The sequence below is a fragment of the Homo sapiens genome, chromosome 10 (genome assembly GCF_000001405.40).
Source record: "Homo sapiens chromosome 10, GRCh38.p14 Primary Assembly".
Taxonomy (NCBI): Eukaryota; Metazoa; Chordata; class Mammalia; order Primates; family Hominidae; genus Homo; species Homo sapiens.
The window spans coordinates 75,209,994-75,232,397 of record NC_000010.11 but is presented as its reverse complement, the minus strand read 5'-3'; the positions used below and the strand labels follow the sequence as shown (position 1 = coordinate 75,232,397).

General features: G+C 44.2%; 1 protein-coding gene across 8 annotated transcripts, besides 8 other annotated features; it reads right to left on the bottom strand.

The window, feature by feature from the left end:
* Positions 1 to 949: 949 nt before the first annotated feature.
* VDAC2 (voltage dependent anion channel 2) lies at positions 950 to 22,228 on the bottom strand. 8 transcript variants are annotated; one of them, NM_001184783.3, is made up of 12 exons: positions 22,186 to 22,228; positions 21,460 to 21,856; positions 21,209 to 21,264; positions 20,739 to 20,916; positions 20,100 to 20,168; positions 18,328 to 18,377; positions 13,183 to 13,335; positions 13,042 to 13,094; positions 11,428 to 11,655; positions 9,996 to 10,146; positions 2,697 to 2,754; positions 950 to 1,500 (listed from the first exon to the last, which is right to left on the bottom strand). In NM_001184783.3, exons 4-12 carry the CDS (start codon positions 20,812 to 20,814, stop codon positions 1,409 to 1,411), a joined length of 930 nt encoding a protein of 309 aa, NP_001171712.1. In that variant the 5' UTR covers positions 20,815 to 20,916; positions 21,209 to 21,264; positions 21,460 to 21,856; positions 22,186 to 22,228; the 3' UTR covers positions 950 to 1,408. The 8 variants fall into 8 exon arrangements, with proteins under 8 accessions (NP_001171712.1, NP_001311016.1, NP_001311019.1 ...); NM_001324087.2 differs by lacking the exon at positions 20,739 to 20,916 and adding an exon at positions 14,407 to 14,510; NM_001324090.2 differs by lacking the exon at positions 20,739 to 20,916 and adding an exon at positions 14,407 to 14,452.
* Positions 5,418 to 6,171: an enhancer, noted in NCBI's record as "NANOG-H3K27ac hESC enhancer chr10:76985985-76986738 (GRCh37/hg19 assembly coordinates)". NCBI's record gives its function as "activates a minimal SCP1, AML or CMV promoter by ChIP-STARR-seq in primed H9 embryonic stem cells {active_cell/tissue: H9 hESC(primed)}" and the evidence as "EXISTENCE:reporter gene assay evidence [ECO:0000049][PMID:30033119]".
* Positions 7,682 to 8,437: an enhancer, noted in NCBI's record as "NANOG-H3K27ac hESC enhancer chr10:76983719-76984474 (GRCh37/hg19 assembly coordinates)". NCBI's record gives its function as "activates a minimal SCP1, AML or CMV promoter by ChIP-STARR-seq in naive H9 embryonic stem cells {active_cell/tissue: H9 hESC(naive)}" and the evidence as "EXISTENCE:reporter gene assay evidence [ECO:0000049][PMID:30033119]".
* Positions 9,192 to 9,947: an enhancer, noted in NCBI's record as "H3K27ac-H3K4me1 hESC enhancer chr10:76982209-76982964 (GRCh37/hg19 assembly coordinates)". NCBI's record gives its function as "activates a minimal SCP1, AML or CMV promoter by ChIP-STARR-seq in naive H9 embryonic stem cells {active_cell/tissue: H9 hESC(naive)}" and the evidence as "EXISTENCE:reporter gene assay evidence [ECO:0000049][PMID:30033119]".
* Positions 21,329 to 21,698: a silencer, noted in NCBI's record as "silent region_2508". NCBI's record gives its function as "represses an Ori minimal core promoter by ATAC-STARR-seq in GM12878 lymphoblastoid cells {active_cell/tissue: GM12878}" and the evidence as "EXISTENCE:reporter gene assay evidence [ECO:0000049][PMID:35858748]".
* Positions 21,673 to 21,967: an enhancer, noted in NCBI's record as "tiled region #7934; HepG2 Activating DNase unmatched - State 1:Tss, and K562 Activating DNase unmatched - State 1:Tss". NCBI's record gives its function as "activates a minimal TATA promoter and a strong SV40 promoter by Sharpr-MPRA in HepG2 and K562 cells {active_cell/tissue: HepG2 | K562}" and the evidence as "EXISTENCE:reporter gene assay evidence [ECO:0000049][PMID:27701403]".
* Positions 21,673 to 22,279: a biological region, named in NCBI's record as "Sharpr-MPRA regulatory region 7934".
* Positions 21,698 to 22,279: an enhancer, noted in NCBI's record as "NANOG-H3K27ac-H3K4me1 hESC enhancer chr10:76969877-76970458 (GRCh37/hg19 assembly coordinates)". NCBI's record gives its function as "activates a minimal SCP1, AML or CMV promoter by ChIP-STARR-seq in primed H9 embryonic stem cells {active_cell/tissue: H9 hESC(primed)}" and the evidence as "EXISTENCE:reporter gene assay evidence [ECO:0000049][PMID:30033119]".
* Positions 21,719 to 22,028: a silencer, noted in NCBI's record as "silent region_2507". NCBI's record gives its function as "represses an Ori minimal core promoter by ATAC-STARR-seq in GM12878 lymphoblastoid cells {active_cell/tissue: GM12878}" and the evidence as "EXISTENCE:reporter gene assay evidence [ECO:0000049][PMID:35858748]".

Sequence of the window (22,404 nt, the reverse complement as noted above, 5' to 3'; positions counted from 1 at the left end):
GGACATCTTTTCATGTTTCTCCTCTTACCTGACTCAAGCTGGCTCAAATTCTAACCCTCTGTCACTTAAGTCATGTCTGTCTGGAGAGGGCCTTCCAGAGAACCATGATTCACATGGGCCATTCAAGCCAGTCCCCTAGGAATAGTGGGACCAGAGGGGTCTTCATGCCCCCAACCCTCCTGTGTGGAGAGCTTGCTTGAGCTCTGGTCTCTCACCAGCTTCTTCTCAACCTGGAAGTTTGTAGCATGTATCATTTCTTGGGTGATAAGTCCTTCCATTTTCTTACCCATTTCTTATCACTCAGGTTCTACCATTCTTCAGGTCTATTACAGATTTGTTGAACAAATCTTCTCCAACCTTTAATCATATCCAATTATCTTCTCCCATCAGAAAACGTACTCTTACCTACTTTTCCAGCCAGAACCACCTATTAATGTCTCATTCATGCCCAGATGAAGGCCAATGCCACGCAGCCTAAAGGGGTTGTCTCTGGTCTCCTACCTATACCCACCTTTCAGTGTGTCTGCCTAGAAGGAAATGAGTAATGACCTCTCACAGTCCCTCAGGTTACCCTCACTGTCTACACCTTACTCCTCTTCTGTATGCTTAACACCATCTCACCAAACCAGGGCCTACTTTATGTTCCTAGCAGTAGCTCACAGGGGTATGGTGTGTTTGTGTAACTTTTCAGCACCTTCTCTTTTTCCTTTCAATGATGCAGGGCAATTCTGCACAGACTTACAAACTGTGCATGTAAAAGTGTAAAAGCATGTATCCTCTTATTGTAGTCTTAAAAAGCTCGTGGAATCTAGGGACACAGAAGATTCTGTGGCACAGATTTAGGTACAGAGCAAAATACTCACTGGAAAAATCAAGTATTGGCTAGCTACCACGGGGATTTGATCCTAGCTGGCAAACGTGGAACTCCGCAAATACTTGGAGCCATTAATTATGTATACTTGTTTTATTCATAATTTGTCATGTTCTGGGATACCAAAAGTAATAATGGCTGAACTTAACAAAATTTGTAACCTCATCTTAATATCCACTGATCCATCTCATTCAATGGTAACAGTCAATGTTTTCTAAAGGAACATAAAAACAAACATGCACACAATTGCACAGTTTTCATAAAGGTCTATTTCATTATTGGTGGGTAGCGCATTTAACAGTTAAATACATTTAAATAATGTATAGGTGACTGCAGGACTGCAGCATTGGTAACTAGATAACCAACTAGAAACCAGCTAACAAAGAACTGTCTAAATACTTAAAATACAGCTCTTGTTGAGATCATCCTTTGTTTTGATCATCTTCTTGGGGGAAAAAAGCCTGCTGCTGGTCACAATGGAAATATATTAAGGCCAAATCTTCTGATATCCATTCCCAAAGGTTTCTTTCAGCTGGATTAAGCCTCCAACTCCAGGGCGAGCCCAACCTTGTGGCCTCCAGCATTAATGCTCTTCCCATCTACCAGAGCAGAGAGTGTAAGCTTCACACCTATTAAGACAAAAAAACACAAAAACAAAAAACCGTGATGTACCTGGCACGTCACTCAGTCTGGGCCTTCTTTCACAGTCATCCCCAGAGCCTGCCTGTCACTTCCTCAGCCTGTCAGCTGACCTACTAGTGCTGGCCACCAGAGGGCGCTTGGAAGTATCTGAGACACCAGAAGAACTGGGTTACCATTCTAGCTAAGGCACCAAGTCACAGAGAAATGTTTTAATAACAACTTCAAAGTGTTCTAGAATATACTATAATGTTGAGTATACTATCCCGATGAAAAGAGACTAAAGACATAATCATAATTCGATCCTAGAAAGGAAAACCTACAATAAAGACACATTTGGGAACGGGGGTAAATCTGAATATGTATTTGGTATTACATTAATGTTAGTTTTCTTAGATGCGACAATGGTATTGTGCTTATAAAGAAAAATGTCTTACTCTTAGGATACACATGCTAGGGGCTGCCATGTCTGTATGTCTGCAAAACATACATTTTTTTAAAAGTATGTGAAGTTTCAGACATAAAATAAATGTAGTAAATGTTAATAATTGTTAATAAATTGTTAATAATTGGTCAATGCAAGGTAAGGACATATGATGTTCATTGTACCATTCTTCCAACTTTTCTTTAGGTTTCAAAATCACCAAAATAAACTTTGGGGAGGAAAATCCCTATCTGAAGGGGGAAGTCTCCAGTACTTTAAGCAGATTCCAAGATGAGTCATGTGCACTCTGAAGTTGGAGAAGCGCTGTTCTAGACACAGCACGCTTCAAAATATTATATAAAGTCAACAAGACTATAGGCAGAACCAAAGCAATGAGTGAACTTTGATCAACAAAATAAAAATTACTACAAAACATTTCAGATACAAGCGAGGAAACTGACAGGAAGTGGGTATTAAATAATAAGGAATCACTAACTTTCTTAGGTGTGATAGTATTATAGTTATGCAGAAAAGAAGAGACGGGCCTTATTCTGAAGAGAAGTGTCATGACCAAATGGCCCAGCAAAAAAAAAAAAAGCAAAGAAAAAGAAATAAAAAATTGTGGTAAAAGGTAAACACGTATTTATTGTACTCTTCTTTCAACTCTTCTGTGTGCTTGAAAGGTCTGAAAAGTAAGCTGAAGAATGAAAACTAAATTTTTTAATACTATCAAAACAATCCTACTTTATCAAGAATACTTACCAGGCCTCAGAGTCTGAGTATAGCCTACTCCAATTAAGCTAGAGTTGTTGACTTTTGCCTAAAATAAAATACAAAAACAACTGTAAGAAAAATATTTCAATAGAGACAAAGCCCCTACATGTTTCCCCATCATGTAATCATGAAGTGTTCAGTTTTATTCACGTGAGACAATAAAATTCAATATTATGTATTAAGCCAAACAAACCAGGTACTATTTAATTCGTATCCATTCAACTCAAAAATCAAATTCTCAGTAGGACACAATACTCTTGATAGCCACTGGAATGTATCCAAAGACCCCAAACTGTCCATACAGCACAAAAGCCTAAGCACTCTCATAAAAATCATCTTTGTTAATTCTAGTCTAGCACAACAAACCAGACCAAAATGTGGTACAAGTCAGGCTCACTAGAGGTGACACACAGCAGCCTTAAAGCACAGGGTATAAAGTTTAAATTCATGACTTAGTTACACACATTACTACTTCCAGGACTCTTCCTAAAGAATCAAAACCATGAATGTTTAAAAAAAAAAAAAAAATCTCCAAACGACAAGTAATTCCTCTGAAGAATCAGATCAAACAATCCTTTATCCTCACATTCTTACACCTCTCATAAATGCCGGTGCTGCTGAGTTCTGGCTGTATGTAACCACTGCGTTTGGGAGGAGGTCCCAGTGAGGTATCATGTACCAATCCAGGCCCCTGCCTTCCTTGCACAATCCCAACATTTTAGGACTTAGTTACCGACTTCAAGGGCTGGAATGAACCCTGAAGAGTAAGACATAGTAAAGAGTAGATTCTTTCTAGCTCCATTCTCTACCACCCCTAACATTATGAAGACACACCAGAGGCCAGGAACACCTGCCTTCATTTCCAGGGCCTAGGTTGCCTAGACATGCAACTTTGCTTTGCTTTCAGCATTCTGAGGGCTACAATATAAAGGTAACAAACAGACTATGTGACCAAAACAGATCTCCAAATGATTCGATGTCTATACTCTTATAATGTGTAACATCCAAAGAGCCCAATCCAGAGAAAGAAATGATGTAACTATACAGACACAAACCACATCCAAAACACCTGTATTCACTTGGCACTACAGCCAAATATTCATGAGCTACCAATGACCATCTAAAGAAAAAAACAGGCCTGGCGCAGTGGCTGACACCAGTAATCCCTGCACTTTGGGAGGCCAAGGCGGGAGGACCACTTGAGCCCAGGAATTCAACAGCCTGGGCAACACGGTGAGACCCCTGTCTGTCTGTACAAAATTTTCCTAGCTTGGTATGATGGTGCACACCTACCCAACTACCAGGGAAGTGGGGGGTGAGTGGAAGGATCTCAAGCCCAGGTGGCTGAGGGCACAGTGAGCTGTGATTGCACCAGTGAACTACAGCCTAGGCAACAAAGCTCAAAAAAAAAAAAAGAAAGAAAAATACCTCACTAATGACCATCTTGTACCCTACAAATAAGAGCCTCAGACAGCTGGATAGACATTCCTATTATTGGCCAGGCGCAGTGGCTCACGCCTGTAATCCCAGCACTTTGGGAGGCCGAGGCAGGCGGACCACAAGGTCAGGAAATCGAGACCATCCTGGCTAACACGGTGAAACCCCGTCTCTACTAAAAATACAAAAAATTAGCCGGGCGTGGTGGTGGGCACCTATAGTCCCAGCTACTCGGGAGGCTAAGGCAGGAGAAAGGCGTGAACCCGGGAGGCGGAGGTTGCAGTGAGTGGAGATCTTGCCACTGCACTCCAGCCTGGGCTACTGAGCGAGACTCCGCCTCAAAAAAAAAAAAAAGAAAGAAAGAAAGAAATTCCCATTATTGGCCGGGCTGGGTGGCTCATGCCTGTAATCCCAGCACTTTGGGAGGATCACAAGGTCAGGAGTTCAAGACCAGCCTGGCCAAGATGGTGAAACCCCGTCTCTACTAAAACTACAAAAATTAGCCAGGCACGGTGGCAGGCGCCTGTAATCCCAGCTACTCGGGGTGCTAAGGCAGGAGAATCACTTGAATCCGGGTGGCAGAGGTTGCAGTGAGCAGAGCAGAGATCGCACCACTGCACTCCAGCCAGGGTAACAAAGTGAGACTCTGTCTCCAAAAAAAAAAAAAAAAAAAAATTCCTATTATTTAACAGTAAGAGTTAAACCATGAAACTGTGATAAGGAGTAGAAAAAATAAACTCAGTTTCTCCCTCTATACTCTCATAAGGCCTAGGGAGAATTTCCCACACATCAAGCAAACGATTCTGCAGCAGACTCCAGCTAGATGTTCTCTAATTCAATTCTGATACTATCTACCTGGAGAGAGAGCATCGGATCACACAGGTTCAGGGCTCAGTTTCATAAAACTGCCCCGCCCTCATTTTCAATGCTAACTGAAAGCTCCAGGTTCTTTTGCCTCTGCTTCTTACAGACTGGTTATAAACTGGGGTTCCCACAACCCCCTGGGGTTCAAGTAATTTCCTAGGGTGGCACACAGAACTCAGGGACTAACACATTTACCAGTTATATAGGATATTTTAAAGGATATAAATGAACAGCCAGATGAAAAGATACTTATATATCTTTTCCTTTATAGGTGAGGTCTTGAAGGGTCCCAAGCACAGGAGCTTCCATCCCTGTGGAGCTGGGGTGCCCCACCCTCCCATGACATGAATGTATTATTGTTTACCTTCCTGAAGGCCCCCTGGACTCAGTCCTTTGGGTTTTTACAGAGACTTCATTACAAAGGAGACTTCATTACAAAGGCACGATTAATTAAATCACTGGCCACTGGCTCAACCTTTAGCTACTATGCCCTCCCCAAGGCAGAAGGTTTGTTCCCTAGCAACCAGCACCCCCTACCATGTGGCCATCTAGGGACTATCCAAAAATCACCTCATTAACATAAGTTCAGATGTGGTTGAAAGAGGCCTGTTAAAAATAACAACATAGCCCAGGGCGCAGTGGCTCGTTCCTGTTACCCCGGCACTTTGGGAGCCAAGGCAAGTGGATCACCTGAGGTCAGGGGTTGGAGACCCACCTGGCCAACACGGTGAAACCTCATTTCTACTAAAAATACAAAAATTAGTCGGGCTTGGTGGCAGGCACCTCCAAACCCAGCTACTAAGTAGGCTGAGGCACGAGAACTGCTTGAACCCGAGAGGCGGAGGTTGAGGTTGCAGTGAGCAGAGATGGTGCCACTGTACTCCATCCAGCCTGGATGACAGTGAGATTTCATTAAAAAAAAAAAAAAAAAAAAAAACCCACAAAAGACTGTCTTTCACTTTTATGCTCTGGAGCTGTTTCAGGAACCGAGGACAAATGGCCAAATATCTCAACAAAATACACTCTTACGGCTCTAGTCACTTGGGAAATTGCAAGGGTTATAGAAGCTGTGAGCCAGGAACTTGACAAAAACCAAAATATATACACCATAGTATCATAGGCCACCCCCTGGTTTCAAACAGGGATCCCTTACAGCAAAAAGGTCCATATATCTGTCAAGGATGTTTACACTTGTTGCATTTATATAACAGACATATCTACAAGAGTACAAACACAAATATGCCTATCATCTGGAGAAGCTACTGTGGGATAGGGATAGGTTTAAAGAAGCAACTAGGATGGGCGCAGTGGCTCACACCTGTAATCTCAGCACTTTGGGAGGCTGAGGCGGGCGGATTACCAGAGGTCAGGAGTTTGAGACCAGCCTGGCCAACACGGCGAAACCTCATCTCTACTAAAAATACAAAAATTAGCCGAGTGTGGTAGTGGGCACCTATAATCCCAGCTACTCAGGAGACTGAGGCACAAGAATGGCTTGAACCCAGGAGGTGGAGGTTGCAGTGAGCCGAGATCACGCCACTGCACTCCAGCCTGGATGACTCCGTCTCAAAACAAAACAAAACAAAACAAAAAAAACCTACTCGGTCCTATGAAGAGAAAAAAAAATAGCTCAGCAGTATGAGGAATGTGAGGTATGCAAAGTTTATCAGGCCCAGAGAGACATGAGAATGAGACTTTAGTCACAGGACACACCCCCATGCCTAGGGGAAATTGTTTAAAAACACTTTGTTCTTTTTTTCCTTCCTTGTAGTTTCCAGGCTCGCTGGCAAATATCTAAAGTGTTACTGCACAATGTGACCCTCACCCATTATCTTCATGTTCCTGGAATCTGTGATACAAAGAACAATGTATAGCCAATCACTAATCAATGTTATTTCTGTAAACCAAAGAGAATTCCTGCCAAACAACTTTGTATCAGCCCACATCCTGTCCCGAATTTTTGGCCTTTAAAAACCTGTTTGTAACAAGGGCCAAATGGAGCTCAAATCCACTTGGATCTGAGTCTGCTGGGCAGCTGTCCTCATTATGGTGCAAATAAATTCTTTAAAATTGTATTTTGTGCCTTAGTTTCTTCCTTTAGGTTGACAGAAGCCATTAGAAACATCTTTATCATCTTGTACCAGCTTTCTTTTCCCTTGATCTACTGTTATTTGTACCTTGTGCAGAACTATTCAGGATGGAAATCAGCTGATAGTGAGATCCAGTTCCTCCTCAGGCCAGTCACTTTCCATAGGTATTATATCCTGAGGAGGCTTCAACTCAATTTCACAATACATATAATCATCAATCAGTATTATAAGACTTATTTACACAAGGGAGTTTAATCTGCCAACAATATTACCATATGGCAGTATGAGCATGGTACAAAAAAAATCAGTTTCGTTACAGATCAGTAAGAATTAGAGATATTTGCTTTGCCTTTCCAACAGAAATCTACCCTTCCCCATTTGTCAGCCTTTATCTTGATTAATAAGCCTGACTACTGCCCCAGGCAATTTCAGATCACATTTCTCAATGTAATCTCTAACTTCTGACTTTTTAAATTTCTCCAAACTGGGCAAAATACAGCAAATACAGGTCTTAGGGGTACTTTTTACCCTTGCAAGGTGGCTTTGAGGCTGGTGGCCAAGGCTTAAACCAAATGAAACCTGAGCTTGGTCTAGCATCAAGGTACAATCCAGCACTCTTTCACTTTGATTTTAGCTATCACAAATAACAATAATCAAGGGATTGTATATTTTGTTTGTTTCTTATTGTTTGCGTTTCCTTATGCACCCAGTGAACCAACTCCCTTGGAGTTGGATCTATCTTTGAATTCCACTGGTAATTTTTAAGTACCTGAGCACAGCACAGTTGTGGCTCCATAGCAGGGGTGACCATCTGACCACCCAGGAGTCAAAAGTTCCTCATTTCCCATCCATTTATCCTTTTTCTTCCTAAACCATGCTTCGATGAGCCACTCTAGCTAGAGCCACTCTAGCAAATCCCAATCCTGACATCAATTCTGAGGATACAGAAAAAAACCAACTCAGTTTCTCCTACTATTCTCTCACAACACAGAATGCTTCTGTGACCACATGTGTGAGGGCTTTCCTCACACACCAAGCAAGCAATAATTTCTGCAGCAGACACTGGCTAAATGTCCTCTAATTCTACCTGGAGACATCAGATGCCACAGGTTAAGGGCTTAGTCCCACAAGACTGCCCTCCTCCCACTTCAGATGCCAACTGCAAGCCCCAGGTTGTTTTAACTCTGCTTCTGACCTGGCACCTCTAAACAGAGGTTCCCACAAGCCCCTTCTTGGGTTCAATTAATCTCCTAGAGCAGGTCACAGAACTCAAGAAACACTTTATTTACATTTACCAGTTTTAATAAAGGATATTACAAAGGATACAGATGAAGAGATGTACAGTGCAAAACATAGGAAGGGACACAGCTTCAATGCCCTCTCCAGACATGCCACCTTCCAGTAACCTCAGCTACCTAGCTCACTGACCTCTGTCCTTGTGGGTTTTCATGAGGCTTCATTATACAGGCATGACTGATTAAACCACTAGCCATTGGTGAACAATTAAACCTACAGCCCCTCTCCCCACCCCCTCTAATCACACCTTGGTCTCTCCACTGACTAGCCTCCAGCCCGAAGCTACCTAAAGGTGGCCAGCCACCAGTCAAAACTCATTAGCATACAAAAAGATACTTAATACTTTCGGGATTCCAAGGATTTTTTAGGAGTTCTATGCCAGGAGAGGGAAGGAGAACCAAATATATACTTCCTAATATCACAAGGAGCATTAAGCAATGCTTCTGGGTACTGCTGAATTGGAGTGGCAGCTAACATTACTGAAGTGGGAAAGGCTAGGTACATTTCCAAACTAATTCCCAGGAGTCATTAAATGACACAGGGGTCCCAAGCTGCCTTCCCATTTTAACTATGAACTCCTAGTAGCTGAGAGAAGCTTCTTCCACTTACATTAAATCTGTTAAAATGCCACAGACATCCAAGAACATCAATGTAAGTAACAGAATAGTGTACTGTATGAATCTTGAGGTTTTTATTGCTGTAGTGCAATTAGAAATGGAGAAGGCGGCCAGCTGTGGTGTCTCATGCCTGTAATCCCAGCACTTTGGGAGGCTGAGGCGGGTGGATCACTTGGGGTCAGGAGTTTGAGACCAGTCTGGCCAACAAATCCCATCTTTACTAAAAAATACAAAAAAATTAGCCAGGTGTGGTGGCGGGCACCTGTAATCTCAGCTACTCAGGAGGCTGAGGCAGAAGAGCTGCTTGAACCCAGGAGGCGGAGGTTGCAGTGAGCCAAGATCGCACTACTGCACCCCAGCCCGGGCGACAGAGACTCCATCTCAAAAAAGAAAAAAAAAAAAAAAAGACAAAGTGATGATTAAAATACTAGCCAGGTGCAGTGGCTCATGCCTATAATCCCAACAGCCTCCTTTGGGAGGCTGAGACAGGATGATAGCTTGAGCCTAGGATGGGCAACATATGGAGATCCCATCTCTACAAAAAAACATCAAAAAATTAGTTGGGAATAGTAGGAGGCTGAGGTTGAACCCAGGATGTCAAGGTGCCGGGAGTCGTGATTGTGCCACTGCAGTCCAGCCTCGACAACAGAGAGCCTTAAAAAAGCACTATTATTTCTGACACAGTAAGAACCACTCAGGGACCAAACACCAGCTATACCTGGACTTAGACAGGCCTATGGCTCAAGGTTATCATCAACATTAACTCGGCAGCTTTTGAGGTTAAACAAACTCCACCAGCCTGGCCTGGAAATAAAACGTCTAACACTGTATCCATCAAAAAAGCGCATTTCAAAATCTAAAACTAATCTATCTGTAAACTGGGGACTGTGTGAAATCAGTTCAAATTTTCAACATAATTCAGTATACCCAAAGACTCATTCCCACAACCAAAACCCCCATTCTAAGTCCACAAAAGTACTCACAGAAATGGAAGCAGTGGGATCCAACTGATATTTAGCTGCAATGCCAAAACGAGTGCAGTTGGTACCTGATGTCCAAGCAAGGTTTACTGAAGTGTCAAGATCTTCACAAACTTTCTGATAAATTGATCCTCCAAATTCTGTCCCATCATTGCTATAAGATATTTTAAATTAGTAGATCTAGAATAGACAATGTAATAATGTCTAAGGCACAGGCTGATTTGTAGCATTACATTTAAATAAAAAACCACAGCTCAAGTGGGTCTTTAGTGTTCCACTGAAAACTTGCAAGTTTTAACAGGTTTTTTTCCCCAACCCATACCCATACAGGGATTGGTAAAATGAACCACAGAATATCCATTCAGTGGAATTATCACACTGTATTAAACATGCAAGAGGTTCTCAAACAGCCTTTTGGTTACGTATTTTATATATAAGTATATATACACACACATATAAAAAGGTGAACCACAACATTAACAAAGATTATATACCTAGCTGGCATGATTGTAAGAAACGTAGGTTTTCTTCTTTGTGCTTCTGTTATTTACCAATGAATTTTTACAATGGAAAGAAAAACATTTTAAGTACTTTCTATGTATCTATCTAGTTTGGGCTAGGTAAAAACACCAGGCTGGATGCAGTGGCTCACGCCTATAATCCCAACACTTTGGAAGGCTGAGGCGGGAGGATCGCTTGAGGCCAGGAGTTTGAGACAAGCCTGGGCAACATAGCAAGACCCCATCTCTACAAAAATAATTAAAAACAAACAAACAAAAAAACAACAATAGCCGGGCACAGTGGCTCACGCCTGTAATCCCAGCACTTTGGCAGATCACGAGGTCAGGAGTTCCAGACCAGCCTTGCCAGCATGGTGAAACCCCGTCTCTACCAAAAATACAAAAATTAGCCAGGCATGGTGGCACACGCCTGTAGTCCCAGCTACTTGGGAGGTTGAGGCAGGAGAATTGTTTGAACCCGGGAGGCGGATGTTGGAGTGAGCCGAGATCGCAAAAGAGCAAGACTCTGTCTGAACCAAAACAAAAAAAGAAAGAAAAAAGAAAAAGAAAAAAAAACCCAACCACAAAACACCATACATTTTAGGCAATCCTATCAAGTCAGCATCTCACACATCAAAATAATTAAGTAAAATGAATGTACTGGTAGCAGTCTGCCAATATATAATGCCTCTTGTAAAAATACAAAGCACATTAAACCCCATATAAAATGAACATTTACTCTCTCAGCACCAAAGGTCAGACTAACAGTCTTCTACTATAAACTTTCAAGGGGCACCCTAGAAATGACCAAGAATGATTTTGTTTTTAAATGTTATGAGAAATCCTTTAGGGTGCACCCAGATCAATAAGATGACAGACATCAAAATCATCCTCTGAGGGCCCACATCACAGTATCCTATGAAAGAAATACTTACACATTAGTGTGTAGCTGGAAGTCCCCAGTCCTGTAGCCCACTGCAAAGTTATTCCTTGTCAGCTTTGATTTGGCACTGTCAAAGGTCATCTGGTAGCCAGCAAGCCAGCCCTCATAACCAAAGACAGCTGAACCATGGATTGCAGGTCCAGCAAAATCAAAGTCAACATCACAACCAAGGTTTATACACTCCCTCTTGTAAGAAGACTTGATTTTACCACTTTTCTTTCTGGAAAAAGAACAAACTGATGTCATTGGGAAAAATTTACACACACTTCTGCACAAGAGAGCACAAAACAGACTTAAATAAACTGCAGTATGACCAGGGAGTAAAAATCAGCAATACAATAACAGGGAGTAAAAAAGTCAGCTCAATGAACTACAAGACAAGGACACATGAAGCAACTGGACAGCCATCTAGGAAAACTGCTTTGCAGAACAAACAATCAGTCACAAAAGCCTGTTAGAAACACATTAGTTGCCCAAGTTAGTGCAACAACAAAGAGGCAAATATTTGAAGGCAAGCCAATGATAGCAACCATAGTATTCTAAAAGCAGATATGGGCCAGGCATGGTGGCTCCCGCCTGTAATCTCAGCACTTTGGGAGGCTGAGGCGGGCGGATCACCTGAGGTCAGGAGTTTAAGATCAGCCTGGCCAGCATGGTGAAATCCCGTCTCTACTAAAAATACAAAAAAATTTAGCCAGGCACGGTGGCATATGCCTGTAATCCCAGCTACTCAGGAGGCTGAGGCAGGAGAATCGCTTCAACCCAGGAGGCAGAGGTTGCAGTGAGCCAAGATCGCACCATTGCACTCCAGCCTGGGTGACAGAGAATAAACAAACAGGCTGCGAGCGGTGGCTCACACCTGTAATCCCAGCACTTTGGGAGGCTGAGGTGGGCAGATCACGAGGTCAGGAGTTCAAGACCAGCCTGATCAACACGGTGAAACCCTGTCTCTACCAAAAATACAAAAATTAGGTGGGCGTGGTGGCACATGCCTGTGATCCCAGCTACTCAGGAGGCTGAGGCAGGAGAATCACTTAAACCCGGGAGGCAGAGGTTGCAGTGAGCCGAGATCGCGCCACTGCACTCCAGCCTGTGTGACAGAGTAAGACTCTGTCCCAAATGAAAATAAAATAAAATAAAATAAATACAATAAAATAAAATATGGAAAAAAAAAAAAAGGCTGGGCGTGGTGGCTCATGCCTGTAATCCCACCACTCTGGGAGGCCAAGGTGGGCAGATCACCTGAGGTCAGGAGTTCCAGGACAGCCTGGCCAACATGGCGAAACCCCGCCTCTACTAAAAATACAAAAATTAGCTGGGCGTGGTGGCACGCACCTGTAGTCCCAGCTACTCAGGGAGGCAGAGGCAGAAGAATCGCTTGAACCCAGGAAGCTGAGACTGCAGTGAGCCAAGATGATGCCACTGCACTCCAGCCTGGGTGACACAGCAAAGACTCCATCTCAAATAAATAAATAAAAGCAGATACAGAGATTTCACCACCACAAGGTAGCTTAATAAGCTATCAAACAGTAAATGTACACCTTTTCTAAATATACAAAAGAGAAATACTTTTAAATGTAATACAGATAAAAATGTCTGTGCTTACCCTGTGTTTGGTGAGAAGGTAGTATCAAATGTCAGTTTCAAACCTTGACAAATCTATTTTGAAAGAAAAGTAATTTGTTTTCTTTTTTTGAAATACAAAAATAAATTAATAAAATTAATACTAAAATTTTCAAAATGTTACCTGGTCTTCAATTGCGATTTCTGTTCCCAGAGTGTTATCAGTGTTCCACTTTTCTGTGAAAGTCAGACCATACTCACACCACTTGTATTTGGTCTCCAAGGTCCCAGTAACTTTACCAGTGTCTGTATTAGATGAACCGGACGTTGAAAATTCCTAACAAGACAATCAATAACTTCATGAACATTCTCATAAGCCTAGAATTCATCACTGCCTTACACACGCACACACACACAAACCCCCTGAAACATTTGGTAAATTCATGAATCCTTTTTCTAGCTTCCTAAACACTCGTATCCTTCTGCACTGTGCTACTCTCTAAGCATATATAAGAGTGACAAATAAGCCTTTGAGCAACTGACTGCCACTTTACATACACAGCTGACACTTCCAATCAATCACAAGTTAACCTGTAGTGAATTCTCAAGTGAACAAACTGTACACCTTTTTTTTTTTTTGAGACAGAGTCCCGCTCTATCGCCAGGCTGGAGTGCAGTGGCGTGATCTCGGCATACTGCAACCTCCGCCTTCCAGGTTCAAGTGATTCTCCTGCCTCAGCCTTCCAAGTAGCTGGGATTACAGGTGCCCGCCACCACACCCAGCTGATTTTTGTATTTTTAGTACAGATGGAGTTTCACCATGTTGGTCAGGCTGGTCTCCAACTCCTGACCTCAGGTGATCCACCCACCTCGGCCTCCCAAAGTGTTGGGATTACAAACGTAAGCCACCACCCCAGCTAACTGTACATCTTTTAAGGAAGGTTTTGCTAAGGTGATTTTATTTGGGATTCAAAAATCAATGGGGGACTGAGTGTGGTGGCTCATGCCTGTGATCCCAGCACTTAGATACCAGCCTGGGCAACATAGCAAGACCATGTCTCTACAAAAATTAAGAAACCAGCTCAGCGTGGTGGTGTGCGCCTGTAGTCCCAGCTACTCAGGAGGCAGAGGTGGGAGGACTGCTTGAGCCTGGGAGGTCCAGGCTGCAGTGAGCCATAATCCCACCACTGCACTCAGCATGGGTGACACAGTGAGACCCTGTCTAAAAATAATAATGTGCCAATCCCTGGTTGCACACGAACTGAAAAAGAAAAAATACGGAGGGCTTATCTGAATTTTTTTTTTTTTTTTGAGACAGCATCTTGCCTCTGTCACCCAAGCTGGAACACAATGATGTGATCACAGCTGACTGCAGCCTCAACCTCCCAGGCTCAAGTGATCCACGTACCTCAGCCTCCTGAGTAGCTGGGATCACAAGCATCACCACGCCAAGCCTAAGGAAGACAGCTGATGTGAAAATAATAAAGAGACTACAGCCAGAAATTGTGATATCTGTAGAGTGAGAAATATCAAAAATTGTATCAATAGGAGGAAAGGCCAGTCAACCTTCTCTCAGAAAATAGAACATTTGTATAACTATTGCTCTGCTGTTAGAGACAAATCCTTAGGTCTTACATCACTCTCCTAAATTAGACCCTTTCATTAACAGGAATTTCAAGTCAAAGCATAGCCCTCAATACCTATACTAAAAAGCACTGGACTGGCTGGGTGTGGTGGGTCACACCTGTAATCCCAGCACTTCAGGAGGCCAAGGCGGGCCGATCACTTGAGGTAGGGAGTTTGAGACCAGCCTAGCCAACATGGTGAAACCCCGTCTCTACTAAACATACAAAAATTAGCCGGGCATGGTGGTGCATCCCTGTAATCCCAGCTACTCAGGAGTCTGAGGCAGGAAAATCACTTGAACCTGAGAACCTGAGGTTGCAGTGAGCCAAGATGGCACCACTGCACTCTAGCTTGAGTGATGGAGTGAGTGAGACTCCATTTCCAATTAAACAAAAAAGCACTGGATCATGTTAGGAAACACTAGATATAAAAATTAGGAGTTCTGATGTCCAGTTCTTCGTGTCATTTACTAAATGCATCACACTGAGCAGGACACAACATTTTGCGGTTTTTTTTGGAGACAGGGTCTCACTCTGTCGCCCAGGTTGGAGTACAGTGCCACAGTCATAGCTCACTGCAGCCTCAAACTCCTGGGCTCAAGCGATCCTCCTATCTCAGCCTCCCAAGTAGCTGGGACTTCAGGTACCCACCAACAAGCACAGCTAATTTTTAAATTTTTTTGTAGAGACGGGGTCTCACTATGTTGCCCAGGTGAGTCTCAGAACTCCTGGGCTCAAGGGATCCTCCTGCCTTGGCCTCCCAAAGCGCTGGGATTACAGGAATGAGCCACTGTGACCAGCCTCACTTAACTTTTTTGGGTCTGTTTCTGCAACTATAATTACAAAGCCTACCTCCGAATGATTAAATTGAACTGACACTGTGAAAGTTTGTACGTTTTCATATGCTCCACAGAAAAGGAAAGCATTACTAAAACAATATATATGGAACAGGTTTTTCTAGCAGTTTGAATGGGGAATGTGTGAGTAGCTATTTTTAATCCTGAATGACATTAATGACTCTTGGGGCCCCACCTACGGCCATTCATCAGCCCACAGATCAAGAGCCAGCCTATATACACATGCCAAGGAAGCCTCAAGAAACAAAGCCAACACCACCCTGTGGGACCAGAGTTGGGCCAGATTACAGCTCATACCCTTTACCACCAGAAATTTTGGCTTCTACATTCTGGGGTGGCTTCAGTAGCTTTGCTGTTCAGGTAAGAAAACAGAGCCAGGTATTAATGGGACTTATCTGGGGCCAGAGACATACTATAGGATCAATACCATGGTTGTTGAGTTACATGTATTAAATGTGAATAAAAACATGCTATATCTAATCCAGCTCCTACATATCCTTCATGCTCTTAAACCTACTTCCATAAAACTTTCCCTAACCCTATACACAACAATCTATTCCTTTCCAACAAAGATTTGATTATCCAACGATCTAATATTTGATATTAATTACCTCAGTACTCTCAGTTTATTTTGTCTCTCCAACTAGAAAGTAAGCTTTTTAAACACAAGGACTGAATCTTTTTTAGAAGGCCTTTTGTGTTTCAACAAATACACTAGGGGCCTCAATAGACTAACAATGGGAACATTAAAAAACACTAAAAATCACTGCTCTGTAACCTGTTAACTTGGCCAAATAAGTCATCCAATCATAACTAAACACCTAAGCTTCCTTTCAGACCAAAAAAACCAAGCGACAGATATGATCAATGTAAATCCCCAGAAATCCAACAGGCCTAGGCTTTTAAACTACAGGGCTAGCGCTGTGGCTCACGCCTGTAATCCCAACACTTTGGGATCACTTGAGGTCAGGAGTTTAAGACCAGACTGGCCAACATGGCAAAACCCTGTTTCTACTAAAAATACAAAAATTAGCGGGGCATGGTGGCAAGCACCTGTAATCCCAGCTACTTGGGAGGCTGAGGCCGGAGAATCACTTGAACCTGGGAGGTGGAGGATGCAGTGAGCTGAGATCATGCCACTGCACTCCAGCCTGGGCGACAGAGCAAGACTGCGTCTCAGAGGAAAAAAAAAAAAACAAAACAAAAAAACTACAATACGATTAAATAAATATCAGTTACATGCACTACATCAAAAATGTCTATATAGGCCGGGCGCGGTGGCTCACGCCTGTAATCCCAGCACTTTGGGAGCCCGAGGTGGGCAGATCATGAGGTCAGGAGATTGAGACCATCCTGGCTAACATGGTGAAACCCCATCTCTACTAAAAATACAAAAAAATTAGCTGGGCGTGGTGGCCCGTGTCTGTAGTTTCAGCTACTCATGAGGCTGAGGCAGGAGAAAGGCATGAACCTGGGAGGTGGAGCTTGCAGTGAGCTGAGATCATGCCACTGCACTCCAGCCTGGGTGACAGTGCAAGACTCCGTCTCAAAAAAAAAAAAAGTCTCTCTCTCTCTATATATATACATACATACATATATCAAAATAACCTATAGTATTCTAATGTGCACACACACCCACCCCTAAAATAATCTCAAAACAAAAATTTTTTAAGTAAAAAAAATTTCACAAAGTTAAATTTTACTAGCTGGGCATGGTGGCTCACATCTGTAATCCCAGCACTTTGGGAGGCCAAGGCAAGTGGATCACTTGAGCTCAGGAGTTCAAGACTAGCCTGGGCAACATGGCAAAACGTCATCTCTAGAAAAACTACAAAAAATACTCAGGCATGATGGATACGGCCTGTACTCCCAGATGCTTGGGAGGCTGAGGTGGGAAGATTGCTTGAGCCCAAGAGGTCGAGGCTGCAGTGAGCTGAGATTGTGCCACTGCACTCACTGCACTCCAGCCTGGGCAACCGAGTGAGACCCTGTCTCGAAAAAAGTTAAATATTAGTTTATCCCCTTTGTAAACAGTTCATTGAACTATCAAGACACCCAAATACCAAAATATTAACCTCTTTAAAAATATTCTTGGCTGGGCATGGTGACTCACACCTGTAATCCCAGCACTCTGGGAGGCCAAGGTGGGTGGATCACCTGAGGTCAGGAGTTGGAGACCAGCCTGGCCAACATGGTGAAACCCCAGCTCTACTAAAAATACAAAAATCAGTCAGGCGTGGTGGCAGGCACCTGTAATTCCAGCTACTAGAGAGGCTGAGGCAAGAGAATCACCTGAACTCAGGAGGCGGAGGTTGCAGTGAGCCACAATCACACCATTGCACTCCAGTCTAAGTGACACAGTGAGACTCCGTCTCAAAAAAAAAAAATTCAGATCAGGACTCCCTAAACTCATAAAATACATGTGGAAATCTTCTCCAGGGAGAACTGCTAGAAAATGGACATTATATAAATGATTAGTACACTCAAATTAATGAGTTCCTGATATTTTTATGCCCATAACTCTGACGAGCATTGTTGACAAAGGGTTACAAAAAAGTCTAATAATGGGTTCCCTGCCTTCAAATGTGTAATCTTACGAGTAAAGAGTACCACCTGACTGGTCTTTCCTAAGTTCCTTGTGCATACATAATATGACGAAAGACCACATGAAAATCAGAAATCACATTCAAGGCCAAAATAAATCAGGTTACACGCAAATCTCTTAAAACAAAGTTAACTTCTGCCTCTTCTTTAAGACAAAACAGGTAGACATCTTTCAGTTATGACCATTTTACAAGTTGAAAAATTATAAAGGTTCAATAGAACTTATTCAACAGTAACACTCACCACGCCACTGCAAGACTTTGTTTTCACATCCAGTTTCACCAACCCAAAACCTTCAACAAATAGACAGCAAAAGAAACAAAATGATTCCTTTGTATGAAAGATGCATAGCAATTGTTGACTATACATAAAAAACAAAAAGATTCCACATATTCAGAGGTGGATAAAAATGTGTTAATATACAATATTTAAATGAAATTGTTACAAATTCGTCTTTTGTAAACTGGCTTATAAAGGGCAGAATTATCCCTATGCTGCTTTGTCTAGTTTTTGGTAGTTGGTACACAAAAGAATGCTTTCAAATTATTTATTTATTTATTTATTTATTTTGAGACGGAGTCTCACTCTGTTGCCCAGGCTGGAGTGCAGTGGCACGATCTCAGCTCACTGCAACCTCCACCTCCTGGGTTCAAGCGATTCTCCTGCCTCAGTCTCCCGAGTAGTTGGGACTACAGGTGCGTGCCACCACGCCTGGCTAATTTTTTGTATTTTTAGTAGAGATGGGGTTTCACCGTGTTAGCTAGGATGGTCTCGATCTCCTGACCTCGTGATCTGCCCGCCTCGGCCTCCCAAAGTGCTGGGATTACAGGTGTGAGCCACCACGCCCAGCCCCCAAACTATTCTTAAACTTAAATATCAGATTAAAAAATCATTCAACTGAAATTTCAGAATAGCTAATAACTTATCATGATATGGCCAGGTGCGGTGGCCCACGCCTGAAATCCTAGCACTTCGGGTAGTCGAGGCAGGCAGACCACTTGAGATCAGGAGTTCAAAACCAGCCTGGCCAACATGGTGAAACCTCGTCTCTACTAAAAATACAAAAAAAAAGCTGGGCATGGTGGCATGTGCCTGTAATCCCAGTTACCAGAGAGGCTGAGGCAGGAGAATTGCTGGAACCCAGGAGGCAGAGGCTGCAGGGAGCCGAGATCACGCCCCTGTACTCCAGCCTGGGCAACAGAGCGAGATTCCGTCTCAAAAAAAAACAAAAACAAAACCAACTTATCATAATACAGACATTTAGGACATTTATGCCAATGGGGTATTTCCAACAGTCTAAATAAAGGGGAGGAGGGTATGGAACAAAATTTTCAAGAAAACTCAAATTCACCTGAAAAAGCTCATAACTCTAGATAAAGTATTAGGAGTCACCACAAAAGCAAAACAGTAATATATCGTAACTCTAGTCAACCAGGGCCTAAGCTATAACTGAAAAAAAATTAAAGCACGAGCCGTTTTTCTTAAAGGCTCAAATCTTCTAAGTACAGTTTTTAAAAATTTTGGGAAATTGGGGGAGGGGGATGTAGACTGTAAAAGAACTATTTTCACATAAGTTTAATCTAAGTATCTTAAGTTTCTAATAGAAGAATTAATACAAGGCTGGGCACAGTGGCTCATGTCTGTAACGTAATCCAACCAGGCTTTGAGAGGCCACTGTGTTTACTGGGTAACACAGTGAGACCCCACCTCTACGAAAAATAAAAAAAATTAGCCAGGTGTGGCAGAGCGTGCCTGTAGTCCCAGCTACTTGGGACGTGGGAGGCTGAGGAAAGATGATCGCTTGAGCCCAGGAGGTCCAGGCTGCAGTGAGGTATAATCATGCCACTGCATCCAGCCTGGGCAACAGAGGGAGACCCTGTCTCAAAAAAATAAGTAACTCTAAATTTAAAGCAGCAAGATATTTACAATTTGCAATGATTGATCTGATTTCGCTAAGCAACCCAAACATACATTTTCACTCTTTATCTAAAACGTTTTAAAAATAAGGTTCTTACCAAATCCTTTGTTGAAAATATCTCTGGCAGCTTTGCCAAGGTCAGCATATGATGGAGGAATACACATTGCTGGTAGAAAAAAAACATTCCAGTGTTAATGTCTCTATTCTCCCACCTTCTATCCAAGAACAAGAGCATGACCCACTGCTGATATTAAAATTCAAGCAATCCCATTTGTTGGAATGTTTTTTATGCGGTCAGGAGCTACAATAGAACTATAACGACCCATAAAGGAGATACCACCAACGAATTATTTCTAAAACAGATAACCATGATTATACAAACTTGGGGAATTCGTTTCAAAACGGAAAAACAGTCTATTACCTACAGCCTCACTTCCTAGGACTGGACAAGTACAAAGAATCAAACAAGTATTTGTGTGTATGGATATTTATGTATCTGCCAAAATTCACTGAGATGAGCTGATTTAACTAAATTAGATAAAACCGAAACCTAAGACTAGGCCCTTTACCCTGATACGTCCTTTAATATCTTCGCTGAGGGGAAAACCAACACCCTGGAGTGGGAAGAGAATTTAATACTGGGAATTTAAATATTGAAACTTGGAAAAAATACTGCCATGTGTGTTTCACTCAAATGTCTACATCAACTAAATATCAAATAGCGCTTCAAACTTACTAATGTGACTCTCAAGTCCTCGGCCAATGCTGTGCTGCTTAAGGGCAGGCAATCTGAGCTCATTACACCAGCTCATTCATTCCACAAAGCACGTCCACGCCCTTAGGAGCACAAGTAATGACCTTGCGCTCTCACAAGAGGGACTGCTACTTCCTCTAGAAAAGTGATTGATCCGATCCTCCAAAGGCAGAATCCCCAATTAACAACTTTTTACTTCTATACGTCAAAGACATGTACAAAGGCTGAAAAGTCCATGCGGCCACAGACCAACTCCCCGGGCCTTGTTCCCCATTTGAAATCCAGCAGCCCAGCCCCTCCTCCGCAGAGGAGGTGGTCAGACGGTGGGGCGACCACCAAAAGCAGCCGAATTTCCAAGTTCTTGGAAAGATAGGGGGAAACAAACTGGGTTTCTGGTCGACAGGCTTCGACTCTCCGCCGCCCCATCCCGCAGAGATCCCAGCTTTACTTACGACGCGCGCAAGTCTGTCCGTGGGTCGCCATGGCGAGGCCGCGGGAAGAGGGGAATCTGCGGGAGGGACAAGAAGTGCGGTAAGCTGGGGTCAAAGGGCCAAAGGGAGATCCCGGGCAGAGAGGGGCGAGGGGCCGCGGGGCAGCGCGGCCATCTTAGGAAGCCAGGGCCGACTCCGAGTCCGGCGCGGGCCTCCGGCTTGGCCGCCGCGGCCTAGGCCCCTGGGTCGGCGTGAGGCGGGCGCGGCGGTACCTGGTGGTGTCCTGAGGGGGGCCGCCGCCACCGCTCCGCTAGCTGCTGAAGCCGCTTGGCACGCTCGCGGTCGGGCTGCAGCTCCAGCAGCTGGAGGGCGAAGTGAAGGAGACACCGTTCCGCCCGCCGCAACCCTGTCCTCTCCCAGACAGGACCCCGCCGCTGCCCCCGGGGCTGTCCGCCGCGCCTGTCCCTGCAGCGCAGCCCGCTGCCAACTCCAACCTGCTCCAGAGCGGCCACGTGGACCGACAGCGCCCCGGTCCTGCAGGTGGGCTGCCTCCGTCCGTCGGTGGGGATCCGGAAGGCAGAAGCTGCTGGGCCTTGGATCAGGCAGCTATCCGGGCAGCCTCAGAGGCGAGGGGGCGGGGAACGGCGGAGGCAGCGCGCTGGGGACCGCCTGGGAGGGGGATGGGGCGGAGGCCCCGCGCGAACGCGTCACGGACGGGGCGGGGCGTCGGCGCGTGGCCGGGGCGATAGGGCGCGGCTGCGCACCAGGGTCACGTAGATCTCTCCTACTCCCCTTACGCGCTGGTGCGGGTTCCCCCCCGAAACAAAGCCCTGCATAGGGTGCCTGCGGGGAGTCAGCTGAGCGTTACCCACGTCCATCCTAAGCTAGCGCAGCCTGCGCTTCTGAGGGACCGCTTCTCTTTCCCAGCCCAGGGAGAACGAGTGGGACACAGGGGCGCCACCTCCAGCCCCTCGCGCTCTTCTGCCCTCTTTTCCCACCTTGGTGTGACTGCCTTGCTGTGCTGGGTTGTGTGCCTGAGAGGCTTTTTGGGACTGCCTCTCCCTGAACAAATGTGAGCGGGTCCTAGCGTGCCCCACCCATTTCCACGCCGCCTTACGCTTTCTCTTCCGCGGCTCCTCCCCACTCAGGCATGGCACTGCTTCACACACGCACGGAGCCGGAGCTTGGCGAGGCAAGCCTGCTCCGGGCCCAACCTC